The sequence below is a fragment of the Homo sapiens genome, chromosome 12, assembly GCF_000001405.40.
Source record: "Homo sapiens chromosome 12, GRCh38.p14 Primary Assembly".
Lineage (NCBI taxonomy): Eukaryota > Metazoa > Chordata > Mammalia > Primates > Hominidae > Homo > Homo sapiens.
The window spans coordinates 66135415-66152456 of record NC_000012.12 but is presented as its reverse complement, the minus strand read 5'-3'; the positions used below and the strand labels follow the sequence as shown (position 1 = coordinate 66152456).

The window sequence follows — 17042 nt, the reverse complement described above, 5'->3', positions numbered from 1 at the left end:
AGATAAATTTTATTAAATTTGATAATACTGCTCATGCTATTTTTTCTTTAACTTGAAACACTTAATATTATGTCTTTCAGTCCTGCCTTAATTTTGCTGTTTGCCCTCGGATCTCTGGGTTTGATTTTTGCGTTGATTTTAAACAGACATAAGTATCCCCTTAACCTGTACCTACTTTTTGGATTTGTGAGTACTCTGACTTTCTCTATTCCCTTAACAATTATTCCTGAGTTTTAAATAAATGCATATATAATACATATATAACAACGGCAGAACAAAATTAATGAGTTTTTTTTAGAGTACTTTAGGAAATTAATTGTAATTTTATAGTCTTTTAAAACTTTTAACAGTTTATTAGTTTCAAATATTAGTATGTAGTGGAAAAAATGCTGAATTGGAATAGATGACCTGGCTTTGCTGCTATCTGATTATGTGACACTTGGCAAGGCATTTATCCTTTCTGTGTCTAAGTTTTTTCATATGTAAAATGAGAATTTTAAAGTAGATAAATCCTTGTGATACCTTCTACCTCTAATATTCTATTATTTTCTTTGGAGAAAATTATGTTGTGGCTTTAATTTCATAAAATTCAAATTCTTTATTGTTAACTCTTCTTTGTTATTATCTTATCACTCTGATCTTTTAAAGAACCATTTTGCTCAAATTATGTGCATTAGTAACTTTTTTCAAAATTATAGTTGGGAGAACCCAACTTTAAGTCATGTATGTTGAGATATTTGTGAAAATTAAAACCCAAACTACCACTTATGAAAATTCAGTTTAGAATATGACCAGAATAAGGGGATAAGCCTCAAGTTATCTGTCTAAAAAATTATTTTGCCTCTTCTCATCCAGTATGACTAGATTCTAACCTAAAAATTTACTTCAGAACATTCCAAAGTAATATTAAGAATACTTGGGTGGGTGCAGTGGCTCATGCCTGTAATCCCAGCACTCTGGAAGGCTGACGTGGGCAGATTGCTGGAGTCCGAGAGTCTGAGACCAGCCTGGGCAACATAGTGAGACCCCACCTCTACAAAAAAATACAGAAATTAGCTGGGCATGGTGGTGTGCACCTATAGTCCCAGCTACTTGGGAGGCTGAGGTGGGAGGATCACTGTAACGGGGTTGCGGGGTGGAGGCTGCAGTGAGCTGAGATCACGTGACTAAACTCCAGCCTGAGTGACAGAGTGAGACCCCATCTCAGACAAACAAAAAAAGAATACTTGTAGTCAAATACGAGTGGGAAAAGCTATTGATTAGATTAAAATGCTTTAAACTAAAAAGTTTATGAATTCTGATAATGAGTTTGTGTTAAAATGAAAAGCTGATGACTTTGAAAGTTTCAGTAATAGGAAAGATTATTCATTTAAATCTTAAGCTCTTTTGTTTGCAAGATTGTCAATTCTAACTCAAGTTATTGCAAATAACAAGGAGTTTAAGGATGTAAGAGCTTGAGAACCCACCAACCCAAATCCTCTTCAAGAAGATGAACTGGAGAACTGGAGGAAGATTCCAGAAATGATGATATCATAGGAAATTCAGTGACAAATGTTTGTGTTCCCCTCTCCCTTGTTCTATTACATCTCTTCTCTACCTCAGTTGTCCTTATACATTGTTTTCCCTTTTTCTATCTTTAATTTTTATATGACCCATTGTTTGCCCCCAGAGTCATTTAACTTTAGCTCCCACTGCCATTGCTTCAATCTCTGAGTTCAGATTCCTGAGTCAGAAAGAATCTGGTCCAGGCGTGGTGGCTCACGCCTGTGTGATCCCCGCACTTTGGGAGGCCGGGGCAGGCATGTTGCTTGAGTTCAGGAGTTCGAGACCAGCCCGGGCAACATAGTGAGACCTTGTCTCTGCAAAAAATACAAAAATTAGCCAGATGTTATGGCACGTGCTTGTAGTCCCACTACTTGGGAGGCTGAGGCAGGAGGATCACTTAAACCGGGAGGTGGAGGTTGCAGTGAGCTGAGATTGCGCCACTGCCCTCCAGCCTCAGTGACAGAGTGAGACCCTGTCTTAAAAAGAAAGGGGGGTGGGAGGGAGGAAGAAAGGAAAAGGAAGGAAGGAAGGAAGAAAGGAGAGAGAAAGAATCTGATTGGTACACTTGGTTGTTGGCACAGGTCACATTGTAGGCTGTTAGTCAATATATGGGTTGCCAGGCCTTGGGTAAGAGCCAACTCCTGGCCTAGTCAGCTATGTCTCAGGAAAGAGGAAGTATAAAAAAAAAGACGGCCATATAGAATTCCTCTTCGCATCTACATGTAGCCTCCTCTCAGAAAGACTGATTTCTGTGTGGGAAGAGGGTGTGGTTCAACTTTTGCCCAGCAGGGAGAGGTCCCACTAGAAAAGTATCAACCAAATGCTTATAGGCAAGATAATCACTGATTGTTAAATCTATTCATCATGCCCATAGCTAAAAATGGTTTAACAAATAAGTATGTACAATACATTTCCTTAAATTACTCAGGGACCTTTAACGTTAGGAGTTTTTTGGTCCTGATCCACCAAGATAAGAAAGGAGGTGAATCTTATCTTGCCCTAGTAGGAGTGTGTGTGTGTGTGTATGCATGCACATAGACAGACAGACAGATAGATAGATAGTCCTCAACTTAGAATCATTCACCTTAATGTTTTCCACTTTTATGATGGTGTCAAAGCAATATGCAACCACGAAATTTCAGACTTTAAGCATTGGTGATTCTTTAACCAAAGACACTCTGAGCTACATTTTTTACTTACGATATTTTCAACTTACAGTGGGGTGTATTGGCATGTAACCCCATTGTAACTCGAGGAGCATGTGTGTATATGTTTTAAAGGGACATTATCATGTTTTCCTAGTCTTATCTTAACTCTTATTTATACCATCCTGTTTCCTTAGATACTTGAATGTGTATGGGATTTCTTTCCTAAAATCTTGTCATAAATAGCAAGAATATAGTATAATCATGTTGCCCTGCCCCCCCCAAAAAAATTTCTTTCTTTCTTTTTTTTTTTTTTTTTTTTGAGACAGGGTCTCTCTCTGTCACCCAGGCTGGAGTGCAGTGGCACGAACTTGGCTCACTGCAACCTCTGCCTCCTGGGCTTAAGCGATCCTCCCACCTCCCAGCCTCCCAAGTAGCTGGGACTACAGGCGCATGTCACCATCCTTGGCTAATTTTTTTGTGTTTTTCGTAGAGAGGGGGTTTTGCTGTGTCACCCAGGCTGGTCTCAAACTCCTGGACTCAAGCAATCCACCTGCCTCGGCCTCCCAGAGTACTGGGATTACACGTCTGAGCCACCATGCCCAGCCCAGAAAAAAATTTCTATCATCTTTTGCTACCATTTTTGCTGGCACTACTAAAAGCATTAAAATGTGACAGCAGTTCCATTGCCTCCACATCTATGTACAATTTCTAATACCATTTTTGCTCTGGTGCTGATGGTTTCCTGATATCAGGTAGGGTGGAGTACAGGGATGCTTCTACCAGGAGTGTGATTATACAGCCACTGCCTTTATTTCTGGCTTTGCCTTTGTGATATGGTCTATCAGATGATTGATAAAATCTATCTAGAGTAAGGATATAAGACAAAATAAAGATACTGTAATTAAGGGGAAAGGGAGGCTAGAGGACATGGCTCAGTATCCCCAAGTCTTTTATTTAGGATATGGGTTCAGCTACTTCTGACTTGACTTAAACAGTGACAAAATAACAATGGCTTAAACAAGATAGTTTATTTCTCTTCATGTAAAAATTTGAATGACAATTTAGTGAAGGTGACAAGGGCCCACGCTTCTGCTAAGGTCCAGGCATTCCTAGAGTGGTATATGATAGATCATATGGTATAAGATAGATCACTTCCATAGCCACAGAGTATCCAGTTATTAATACAAACAAATGAGAAGAGGAAGGGGAGAGCAAGTCTTTCTTTGTTTTTAGAGCACAATCCAGAAGTTGAATTCCTATCTTAGTCACATTAAATTGGCTAGAGTATCGTTACGTAGTCAGACCTAGAGTTGCAAAGGAGACTGAAAAAATGCAGTTTAATCTGAACAGCCATGTGTCCAGGTAAAAATTCTGTTATTAGGGAAGAAAGAGAGAATGAATATTGGGAAACACTTTCAAGACTCCCACACCAAAGTACTACCTAAATATTTTATTCTTCCTATGTTTGTGTGAGGTATTGAGGTTTTATAAATGTGCACATAATTTTGCAATTGTATTTTTATTTATATTACACAGTAAGAAAAACAGAATGTTCTATATTTATAGTCTTCCTGTTACAAATATGCGATTAGAGCTTAAAGAGTCATAGTATCAGAATTAGAATGTTAATATTCCCACTCAATATACTGAGGTCTCATTTTCATTATGGTGGGTTTACTAACTGCCCCATATACTTCGCAGGGCTGCTTTGAAGCTAAAATGAGATCATTCATATGGGATCACATTAAGCTGCTAGAAATTAGAAAATGTACATGAGATAGTATAAATTTTACAGTCACTAATTTAAGTTTCTTTTCATTAGACGCTGTTGGAAGCTCTGACTGTGGCAGTTGTTGGTAAGCCGTAACTGCATTTCTATATGTTATAATAACTTTTTAATGTAGATAGATCTTTCAGGTAAAAAGGTATTTGGGGCTAAAGTTTAACATCATGGAATATCATATTTCAGAAATATAGCATAGGACAAATAATTTCTAAAGTATAAGCAAAAGTTAGATATTTATCGTTTACATATTTCAGCTGAGCTTAGAAGTGGAAAAGAAAAATAAAAGGAATGGAGAACAGTATTTCATTTGTTTACCCATTTAGAAAAATAAGACAACTATAGCTAATCTTTTCCCTAATTTAAAGTTATCATCAAGTAACTGAGAACATGTGTTCTGAGCCACGTACTTTGATCATATGTATGAGCTTAACTCCTTTAACTGGCCTGTGCCAAACTGAACTGTGCTTTAACATTATATCCTCATATTTTATCAAATGGCACTGCAAGAAACAGTGGTAATTTCTGCTCTGTATTTCATGTTAAATATGTGTTTGAAGGCCGTTTCTGTTATAATTACTTGATGTACCCTATGTAATGCCTCAAATAAAAAATTTCAGTAAATTAAGAATAGAAATTCTGATTGTCTCAAAATGGTTAACCTTGAGTACCAAAAAGGTCAGAGTTAATTATTACTCTCCATAATAGCAAGTTGTTTATCCTTATAGTTAATATATTTAACTCTTCCTACTTTGTCATTAGTTTTTTTAACCTTTCTATGCCAGTTTTGTTTAATCTGTATGTTTTTGTAATCTCTTTTTAAAAGAATCAATATAAATAAATAGTAATAAATAATAAATAGGATTGAAGCTTCTTAACAGAGAAAGGAAGTATTATTAATATTTACTTATTATTAATGTTACTTACTATTAAGGTTATCAAATCCATCTCTCCCTTCTCCAGCCCCTACTATGTATAAAGAATGTAGGAGAGAGATTCATTTCAGGATTATTGGAATTGGGGGTAGAAAAACATAGATGAGGTAATCTGAGAACATTATTTTCCTCAGTAATTGCAATATCTTTTCAACCTAATCGTATACTTAAATTACTGACAAGAAGCAAAATGGACTTCATGTCTTATCTTTTCCATGTTCACCTTCCTAATCCTGTAATGGCATAAACAGAGAAATTCCAATCATGTAGCATTTAATGATAGAAAGAACATGAATAATTACTCCCCTGAAAAATTAAAAATTACTTAAATGGCTTTGGGTTCAAAGCAGTTAACCTCCAAGAGGTTATAACTTTGCAATTTATTAAAATGTTAAGGAGTTTTATTACAATAGCCATAATTGAATGGATGATTATTCTAAAATTACAGAAAGGAATTTGGCATATATTCAGTAAACCCCAAAATAATGTACTCCAAGATAATACACATTTGGATATAAAGCAGTTAGTGGTTGGTTTCTGTCCTCTGCAGGGTAAGTGAATGGTAGGCAACCCCAGACAGCCCCAATATTTTTCTTTCCCAATTTCCTTGATTTGGGCTGATAAACCAAGTATAACTAACTAGATGATTGCTGGATTTGCTGCTACTGTCCAGGAATTCCCAGCCAGGCAGGAGACCCAGAATCATCCCTATTGATATTTAAACCATAATGGACAATCACCACAGATGGTGGTAAACTGTGCCTGGGACAGAGATGGCTGAGAATCACTCCCATACCTGTAGAACTCCAAACTGGCTACAGGCGTGATAGCTCTCCAGTCATTTCATTAACTTGGTAATAATGTGACCTCTGATTTTGTATGAATGAATTTTTTGGAGACTGTTAATTGCATTATGGGTGTGGTTTCACTGTACCCATGTAGTCAAGGATGGATAAGAAATCTTTTCTAATTGTTTTTATTGGCATAAAGTACAGGAGAAAATGAAGCATTTCTATAAAATGCCAGAAAAAGCTGTTTTGTATTGAGCATGTTTATATGCATGTTAATCAGTGTTTTAATTTTACAGTTACTTTCTATGATGTATATATTATTCTGCAAGCTTTCATACTGACTACTACAGTATTTTTTGGTTTGACTGTGTATACTCTACAATCTAAGAAGGATTTCAGCAAATTTGGAGCAGGGTAAGTTGTATATATTCTTGGATATAATAGATAGATGTCTTTAATTATTATAGGTGGTTTTGAGGAATGTGCTACACTGTTATTTTTGGGTACTGTCTTTTAAAATGGAGGGTAATAAGAGATCATCTCTTTGAGTACTAGGGCCAGGTCCTACTCCTAGAACATACACAGAAATGGAAAGTGGCTTTGACTTATTTGCTTCTCTCCTATAGTGAAAGGGAAGTGAATTAAAAAAAAAAATAAGCTTTCCAGAGAGTTTAAGCTTGTATGCTTTATTAACATTATGGAATTTACTGAAATTACTTCAGTCTTTGTCTTAGCATAAATGTTACCAAGACCATCCACGTCTTCTTGGAAGAAGCGCTGTAATTAGTACAGGTATTGAAAGGGTCTGCATGAACTTTAAGACCTTTTGATCCATCTAGATTAACCTGTATCCTTCCTCAAACAAATATACGGAATGATCCTTTTTATATTAGGATTATGGTACAGCATTGCCCTCACCTGGTAGGAATGCATAGACTCTTTTCTAAGCTCACAGTGGCTTCCTGTTGGCACAGTCACCCAACCGTTTTCTTTTTCCTGTTACAACACTATTTACAAAACTCTGCTCTTGCTAAACTTTCTTTCCTCCCCCACCCCTTTTATTCTGGTAATCCAGAACACCAGAAGTCTCTATTGAGATAAAATATAGTTGGTCAGCCAACACTGACAATTGCGCGAGCTGCTTAAATAGTTTCATTAGAATGGAGTTTGATTTAGGGAGAGGTAACATTTTCTATTTTCTTTTCCTTCTTTGGAAGGATGTTTCATACATATTTGTGTGGCATATATGATGAAAGTTTTGTTCTACTTCCTCTTCTCAACCCAATCTCCAACTGTTCCCTCCCTTTCATTAATTCCAGTATCATCTCTCTTAAATCCTTTTCTGGTAAACTTGCCTTATATTTCAGCCTCTTCATAATAAATTTACATTGATTGATAGAAATGGTATTACAGTGATCATATATAGATCTGAGACCAGATATTTCTGAAGTGCGTCTGTCTGTGTCTGCTGTTTCTGATAATTCTTATGATATTTTCTTTCTTTAAGTGTTCAGTTATTTTTGACTATGTAATTGTCCTTGAAAAACTATTTGTTGAATTTCTTTGAGGCCTTGATTGAAGGTGCACTTTTCCATACAGTATTTGGGTTTTCGCCTAGCATCTGGGAAAACTATTGGATTGGGTCCACTTGAAACTAAATTCATGGCTTACGATGTTTTCCCAACCACACAAGTGTTCTTCAGTTAGACTACAAATCAGCAAAGGGATAGCTTGTGGTGACAATTTCCCAGGGATGGTTCTTCTCTGCCCCCACCCCGCAATTTACCCCTGCTTAGTGCATTGATGACTTTTCTTGTAGTTGGGCAAATTCAGCTACAGTACTATGATTACTTCTTTGGGTTTCCACTTTTACCTAGATTTTGATTTGATAATTCCATTCTACCTTGACAGTTATTTGATGTTTTTAAGAACGTATTCTTTGTTTTCTCTTTTATGCATCATTTCAGTAGTTTTTCGGGGTGGGACAGGGGCAGTAATTAGTCTGGAATAGTTCTTACTTGCTGTAGTACTGGAAACGGAACCCTTTCAAAATTGCCTCTTACCTGTATTACTACAACCAGCCTCTCTATTCTCCAGTCTTAACAGTTTCCAGCCTCTTTTCCACCAAGCAGTTGGGTGATACAAAAATGGAAACTTGATTACAGTATACCTATTTAAAACCCTAACACTTCACTACTGCTCTTGGTATACAGCCCAGTTCTCCACTGAATCACATCTACTGCTATTAGTTACTGGATATTGCCATGTAATGACTCTCTAGCAAAATCCTAATAATAATTATACTTTGGTCAGTATGCCATAGATTCAGCTACTTAAGAGTAGCACTTTATTGCATTTTAAATAAAACTTAATGGCACTACTTACTGTGACGCCTCAAAGCCAAAGTGGTTGTGGAAGCTGAGTGCCAAAATGGATATAAAGACCGAGGGAAAAGATTTTCTGTGAAAATATTTTCTAAAAAGTTTATAGGCTGTTCCTTCTGACCTGTTTATGGGACATAATAGGGACTGAAGAAGTGCGTTAAATGTTTGGATGTATGGTAGTATCAGGCAATGGTGGCAGTGCTTCATAGATTGACTTAAAGCTGTGATGTTTTTACAACATCATTATCCTGTGGTAATTCTGCCACAAAAGGAATTAAATCTCAGAACTACATATGATAACTGTGGCAACTGGTCATTGGTGTGCTAGAGTTGCCTTGTGCCAGCTTATGAGGCATCTTGCAAGTCAGTTGTTAAACTGCTGGAAGTTTAAAGTAGGCCATGAAGGATGTATGTACACCACAGAAATTAAGAAGCACTACAAATCAGGGCTCATTTTCTTTCCTAGAAAGTCAGTTTACTGGTACATCACTGTTTGTAAGTTATTTTTTATTCTGTGCTTCTTGTTGAGAGGGATGAGGGTAGGATTTGTCAGTCTTCTAGATGGAGTTGTTAGAATAGCAAAATCAGCACTATGTCCATGGTATATCTTATCTATATTCTCAGAAAATTTGCTCTCTTTGATGCTTAAATATTTAATGAGATGTGAGTCAGAGTAGAGTGAACTAACAACTTAGGCAGAATATTTGTAGGACATGACTTTCAAATCTTTACCTGTTACAGTATCTACAGAGAATGCTGTCATAAACTGACAAGTCTTAGGCTGAATTTCTTACCAGAAACTTACCAAATGGAGCCTGTGACCCTAAATAACTGTTTTAGTGTGTGTACACTTAGGTTGCTGGGTGGGGCATGCTGCTTAACCAGGGAGCCTAAGTGTGTCAGATTTCAACTTGGATGTTGTAGTGGAGAAAAGGTATCTGTTTTAATATGTATTGTCAATAGTGTCTGATCAGGCTCAAATGTAGGATCTTGTCCAGTTAGTGAATAAGAGTAAATTAATGTCCAGTGACCTCTGGCAGCCCTATCCTAATGTCTTATTAGAAGCCCACAAGAATTGGAGAGGATTTTTCATGGGTCTCGTGTTTCTGAATGTCTTGTGAATGATGTGCTGACTGCTCTTTGTTCCAGACAATCTTTTTAAGGGTTTTTTTTTTCCAATAGTGAACAGCCTGGAAAGATAGAAATAGTGCTCGCTAGAGCAGAGGGCAAGCATGTTTACTTTCCATTATAAAAAAGACTTGCTTCCCTAAATTCAAGGTTCCTCTCTTGTAACACAACCCACTGTGTGTGTAGGTGTCATGTGGCCCTCTTAGCATCACCTGGGCCCTGTCATAAAAATGCTGATACTACTGTTATTACTGTAAACTGTCCTTTATCTCAGACCTAGGAGCTTGATGCATCCATGAAACTGTGCCAGGCTAACTTGTTAGCCTGCAAGTAGGGTAATATCTCGGATGCTGTAAGTTCTTAATATCACCTTCCCCATACCCCATGGTGCAGGAACGTTGGAATTTCCCTAGGCTTTAAGAATGAAAAAGCAAATCCTAAGTCCCTTTCAGTCCTGAAGGATCTATGTTGTGAGGTAGCATGATACCTCATTCTCACTTAGGTATGCCAGATGTATCCTGAGAAATTTTAGGGCCATTTCAGAGAGACAGCTGAGGACTAGATTCTCATCATGCCTTCATTTCACCAAATAGCATTACAATAAATAACTCTGTTACTGTGAGAGAACTTATTTTGTATGAGTTCAGTCCTTTTGCATTTATTTATTTATTTATTTTTTAATGGTATCTTGGTAAATGTTCTTTGTGCACTAGACAAGAATGTGTATTTTGCTGCTGCTGTCGGATGATTTGATAAATGTCAATTAGGTAAAGTTGGTTCATAATGTTAAGTGTTCTATTTGCTTACTAATTTTCTGCCTACTTGTTTTATCAATGTGAGAGGGGTGTTGAAATTTCCAACTACAAGTATGGATTGGTCTATTTCTTATGTAAATTCTATAATTTTGCATCATATTATTTTAAACTTCATTTTTAGATGCAGAAACATTTAGGATTGTTACGTACTCTTGGTGAACTGACCCCTTTATCATTATGAAGTGACCTTCTTTAGCTCTAGTAATATCATTGCCCTAAAATCTATTTTGTTATTAATATAGCAACCCCAGCTTTCTTCTTAATTTGTGTTAGCATGTTAGCATCGTATATGTTTTTCTATCCTTTTATTTTTAATGTATTTGTGTCTTTATATTTACAAGGTTTTTTTTTTAGAAATCATAGTTGGATCTTGGTTTTTAAAAATCTAATCTGACCACCTCTGCTTTTAGTTAGTGTATTTAGTCCATTTACATTTATTGTGATTATTAAGATGGTTGTGTTTATCTTCTTTATTGGCTTATTAGCTATAGTTCTTTTAATTAGAGGTTGCTCTAGGTTTTATAATATATGACTTTAAATTATTAGTCTATCCTCAAATAATATACCATTTTATGTATCCTTGTATCTCCTTTTCCCTACCTTTGTGCCATTGTTGCCGTAACTTTTAGTTCTACATGTTATAAACTCCATAATACATTATTATTTTTGCACTAAAAATTATATTATCTTTTAAAGGGATTTTAAAAATAGAAGTCCTTTTATGTTCACCAATGTATTTGCCATTTCTACTCTTCTTCATCTCTTCATGTAAATCTAAATTTCCACCTAATATCATTTGACTAAGGGACTTCTTTTTAACATTTCTTATTGTCTGTTGGTCATCTTTTGTGTCTGAAAAAAACCTTTGTCTTTATTTTTGAAAGTTATTTTTGCTGGGTGTAAGATTCTAGGTTTTGGGTTTTTTTTCTTGCTTTCAGTATTTTAAAGATGTCATTCCATTGTCCTCTGACTTATGTAGTTTCTGACAAGAAGTCTGCCATCTTTCTTATATTTATTCCTCTGTATATGTTTCCTCCACACATACAGAGCTACTTTTACCATTTTTTCTTTATCACTGGTTTGCAGTAATTTGATTAAAATATTCCTTGGTGTGGTTCCCTCCCCCTCCACTTTTCTTCTGTTTCTTGGATCTGACAATGTAAAGTTTTCCTCAAATTTGGAAAAAAAAATTGTTTAAGAGATGGGGTCTTGCTGTGTTGCCTAGGCTGGACTCGAACTCCTGGGTTCAAGTGATCCCTCCACCTCCTGAGTAGCTGGGATTACAGGCACACACCACTGTGCACAGCTCAAATCTGGGAAATTTTTGGCCATTATTTCTTCAAACATTTATCTGTCTCCCCTTCTTTCTCCTTTGCTTGAGACTCCAGTTACATCTGTGTGAGACTTCTAGATGTTGTCCCCTAATTCACTGTTCTGTTTTTTTTGTTTGTTTGTTTTTCTTTGTCTTTTTCTCTCTGCGATTCATTTTGGTTAGTTTCTATTGCTGTTTTCAAATTTAGTAATCTTCTTCAGTGTCTAATCTGCTATTAATTCCAATCAGAATATTTGTGTTTCATATATTGTATTTTTAATCAATTAAAGTTCAGTTCAATTTGTGTCTTTTGAAAAAAAATAGTATCTTCCATTTCTCTCCTCCTCATGATCATTCTTTCCTCGATCTTGAACTAGGGAGTATATTTTTAATGTCATTGTCTATGCATTCTATCATTGTGTCATTTCTGGATTTGTTTCTATTGATTGTTTCTTCTCCTTGTTATGGGTCATATTTCCTTCATTCTTTTGCATGCCTTTATAATTTTTTATTGGATGCTGGTCATTATAAATTTTACATGGTTGGGTGCTGAATTTTGTTGTATTAACTTTAAATATATTTGGCATTGTTCTCCTAGGATGCAGTTAAGTTCCTTGGAAAGTAAACCTTTTGAGGCTCTGTTAGGAGGTCCAGAACAGCTTTTAGCTTAGGGGCTCATTTGGCCCTAAGGGTACTGCTGAGACAGTACCCTTCAGCATACTACTCAGTGCATGTCTTACGAGGTCTTTCTACTCCAGCTTGTGTGAATGCAAACTATTCCCAGTCCTGTGTGAACTCTGAGGATTGTTCTGCCTGCTTCTCTATTGTGGTTCTTTCTCCAGCCTTGGTCACCTCCTTAACATGCATGTATTAATCAGAATGTAGCTACAGACTCTAGGGGAATCCTGTGCATACACCAGAGTGCTCACTTTTGGTGGATAGTTCTCTTCTTTCTGATATTCTGCCCTGCAAATTCTAGCTACCTTGGCTTCCCTGACCTCTGAATTCTTGTCTGCTCAACTCAAGGAGACCGCAAGTGACTGTATGGGTTCTTATCCCTACACGCTGGCCTGGAAACCCTCTGTAGCTGGGGCAAATATAGACTTCACTTTCTTTGTATCCTTTATCTCAGGAATCCCTGTCCTGTGCTGTTTGCTGTCCAGTGTCCAAGAACTGTTGTTTCATATATTTTGTCTGGTTTTATTTAAGGAAGGAGGATAAATGTGGCCTCTGTAATTCCCTGTGACCTGAAGCAGCTGATAAGTCCCATATTTTATAACAAAAGACTGACTTCTTAGATGTCCTTTCTTATATAATTTATACTCTCTATATATAACAATTGAATTGTAACTCATAAAATTATAGCAGTGTCAGATGTGTCCATCAATTAAGTTCCATAATACATAAGAATAAAATGGAAAGTACATTGTGAACTTCGATAGACATGTTCACAGAATAACTTGTTATTACTTGGTTTAAAAGTGCAATCCTAGTTCATTTGTTTATATATTTTCTAAAAGTTTTTATAGATCTCTGAATTAAAATACTTGTAATGATATTTCTGCTTTTATCTGTATTTTATGTTCCAAAACTTCACAAATTATACTGTTAACTAGGTTTGTATACCATAAAGACAAATGTTGAATAAATAGCTGTTCTTTCAATTTCTTTAAAAAAAAGATCCAAGATGGGCATTATATTCATTGTATGTTTACAAATTCTTACATTTTAGTTATTCTTCAGCAAAAAATCCAGATGGATGTTTTTTTCAGAAAGTGTTGAATGGGTTTACAAAGTTTTTTTGTAAGGAACAATATTGCAAATTACTAAAATTGTATTTTTATAGGCTGTTTGCTCTTTTGTGGATATTGTGCCTGTCAGGATTCTTGAAGGTAAGTTATGTTATAATGGTTAATTTGAAATATAATTCTGGCTGTGTCAATATAAATAACCTCAAAAAGCTATAAGAGATACTCTTATGATAGGACACTTAGTTATAATTATCCAGAACATTTGTATATAGAATGATTATAGAATTATCCCTTTAGAAAATCAGGGTCTTGTGTTGGTCCTTATTATTGACTGAAAAAAAGATGAATGAATAAATGAATTAAATTACATAGAAAGAGGCCCTTGCTTACAACTGCCAAGCTCCAGTGGCACATTTAATTGTGAAAAACGAAATATATTTTTAAATAATTTATATGTGGAATGCTGTTTTTCAAAGTGGGTAATTTAGTTTAATGGAATATAACCACTCATTCATCCTTCCATCCAACAGAGGCAAGTTTGGACTTGCCTTGCCTTTTTCTGCTTTTAACATTTGTATTCAAAGTTGTACACCATTGTCAAATGTATAATGTAGCAGTAAATCATTAGAGGAAGTAAGTTAAGTCCTGTTAATACTGTTCTCAAATATAAACATATTTCTTTAATCTCTTCCCTATAGTTTTTTTTTTATAGTGAGATAATGGAGTTGGTCTTAGCCGCTGCAGGAGCCCTTCTTTTCTGTGGATTCATCATCTATGACACACACTCACTGATGCATAAACTGTCACCTGAAGAGTACGTATTAGCTGCCATCAGCCTCTACTTGGATATCATCAATCTATTCCTGCACCTGTTACGGTTTCTGGAAGCAGTTAATAAAAAGTAATTAAAAGTATCTCAGCTCAACTGAAGAACAACAAAAAAAATTTAATGAGAAAAAAGGATTAAAGTAATTGGAAGCAGTATATAGAAACTGTTTCATTAAGTAATAAAGTTTGAAACAATGATTAAATACTGTTACAATCTTTATTTGTATCATATGTAATTTTGAGAGCTTTAAAATCTTACTATTCTTTATGATACCTCATTTCTAAATCCTTGATTTAGGATCTCAGTTAAGAGCTATCAAAATTCTATTAAAAATGCTTTTCTGGCTGGGCACAGTGGCTCACGCCTGTAATCCCACCACTTTGGGAGACCGAGGCAGGTGGATCACGAGGTCAAGAGGTTGAGACCATCCTGGCCAACATGGTGAAACCCCGTCTCTACTAAAAATACAAAAATTAGCTGGATGTGGTGGCACACACCTGTAGTCCCAGCTAGTCAAGAGGCTGAGGCCAGAGAATCGCTTGAACCTGGGAGGTGGAGGTTGCATTGAGCCAAGATCACGCCACTGCATTCCAGCCTGGTGACAGAGCGAGACTCAGTCTCAAAAAAAAAAAAAAAATTTTTCTTCCTAAATTAGCCACGCATAGCAGTTCGTTTGCAATTCAAAAATAATTTTATGAGTAGATAAGAATATCAGTTTACCGTTGTCTAGTGATTTTATCTAAATTTTCCCTGAATTATTAAGTAATATTGATTTGGCTTTGATTCTGAAGTAGTAGAGTCTTTACCATTATAAACTGTAAATCTCTTTTTGCTTAAAAGGAAAAAAATGTAAAAGATAAATTCCACAGAGAATTATTCAGTATTACATTAAAATGTTAATGACTTTTTATTTTAAATTGTACTAACATTAAAAGTTGGCCTGAAAGTCAGATATTATGACAAAATTTGACATTAATTGTTTTTAAAGTATAGATTTCATTTGAAATTATAGAATGGTAATGTGGTTAGAGGACACCAAAGATACTGGGTCATCAGCCATTAAGTATATCTATTTCAAAATTAAAATATTTGGGAAGTATTGTCTTATGGTTTCATTTGTGTTGGTCCACACAGCATGTTAGGTCAGTGTACCAGTAACCAATGAAATTTTGTCAAATTCCCTCACTGTACTAGTTTGTTAGGCTGCCATAACAAAGTTCTACAGCTTGGGTGGCTTCAACAAGAAATTTGTTTTCCCACAGTTCTGGAGGCTAAAAGTCCAAGATCAAGGTGTTAGCAGGGTTGGTTTCCTTTGAGGCCTTTCTCTTTGATTTGTAGATGGCCATCTTCTCCCTGTGTCTTTAAATGGCCTTCCCTCTGTACTTGTCTGTGCCCAAATTTCTTCTTCTTATGAGGACACCAGTCATACTGGATTAGGGCCCACACTGAGGACCTCATTTTTCCTTAATTATCTCTTTCAAAACCTATCTCCAAATACAGTCACATTCTGAAGTGCTGGGATTAGGATTTCTTCATGTGAATTTTGGGGGGACTACAACTCAGCCCATAACACCCCCTAAGTATTTCCCAGCTATTAAGTTGAAATAAACTTGTAGTATCAATTTAAGCTTGCATGATTTGTAGATGTAAATTTGACTTTATTATCATTAACTGTTGAATTATCAAGTGTATGATGCAGTGCAATCAAGTTTAACAGCATGGTGGGTAAGAGCATCTAGATTAGAATCATTGCAGTCCAACCAGGTGCTTAAGTGACATTTGGCGAATTATTTATCCTTCCTTAGGTCTTCTGCCTCATCTTCATAATGGGAATAATGATGTCTAGCTTATTGGGCTGTTATAAGGATTAAATGAGATAGATAAATAAACTAAACTAAGTGCTTAATTAATGTCAGCTGATGGTATTAATACCATTTTCTTTTTTTTTTTTTTTTTTTTTTTTTAATTTATTTTTTTATTGATAATTCTTGGTTGTTTCTCACAGAGGGGGATTTGGCAGGGTCATGGGACAATAGTGGAGGGAAGGTCAGCAGATAAACAAGTGAACAAAGGTCTCTGGTTTTCCTAGGCAGAGGACCCTGCAGCCTTCCGCAGTGTTTGTGTCCCTGATTACTTGAGATTAGGGATTGGTGATGACTCTTAACGAGCATGCTGCCTTCAAGCATCTGTTTAACAAAGCACATCTTGCACCGCCCTTAATCCATTTAACCCTGAGTGGACACAGCACATGTTTCAGAGAGCACAGGGTTGGGGGTAAGGTCACAGATCAACAGGATCCCAAGGCAGAAGAATTTTTCTTAGTGCAGAACAAAATGAAAAGTCTCCCATGTCTACTTCTTTCTACACAGACACAGCAACCATCCGATTTCTCAATCTTTTCCCCACCTTTCCCCCTTTTCTATTCCACAAAACCGCCATTGTCATCATGGCCCGTTCTCAATGAGCTGTTGGGCACACCTCCCAGACGGGGTGGTGGCTGGGCAGAGGGGCTCCTCACTTCCCAGTAGGGGCGGCCGGGCAGAGGCGCCCCTCACCTCCCGGACGGGGCAGCTGGCCGGGCGGGGGGGCTGACCCCCCCCCACCTCCCTCCCAGACGGGGC

General features: G+C 36.4%; 1 protein-coding gene across 4 annotated transcripts in view; it reads left to right on the top strand.

Annotated features, from left to right (window-relative positions):
* TMBIM4 (transmembrane BAX inhibitor motif containing 4) overlaps positions 1–16611 on the top strand; it is a 34151-nt gene extending 17540 nt beyond the window's left edge. For 3 of the 4 annotated variants that reach the window (NM_001282610.2, NM_016056.4, NM_001282606.2), the window contains 5 exons: positions 81–186; positions 4516–4549; positions 6499–6616; positions 13688–13733; positions 14291–16611. In NM_001282610.2, coding sequence (NP_001269539.1) covers positions 81–186; positions 4516–4549; positions 6499–6616; positions 13688–13733; positions 14291–14497 — 511 coding nt within the window. In that variant the 3' untranslated portion in view covers positions 14498–16611. The remainder of the gene's footprint in view (positions 1–80; positions 187–4515; positions 4550–6498; positions 6617–13687; positions 13734–14290) is intronic. The other variant, NM_001282609.2, reaches the window with a different exon arrangement.
* The last annotated feature ends 431 nt before the right edge of the window (positions 16612–17042 follow it).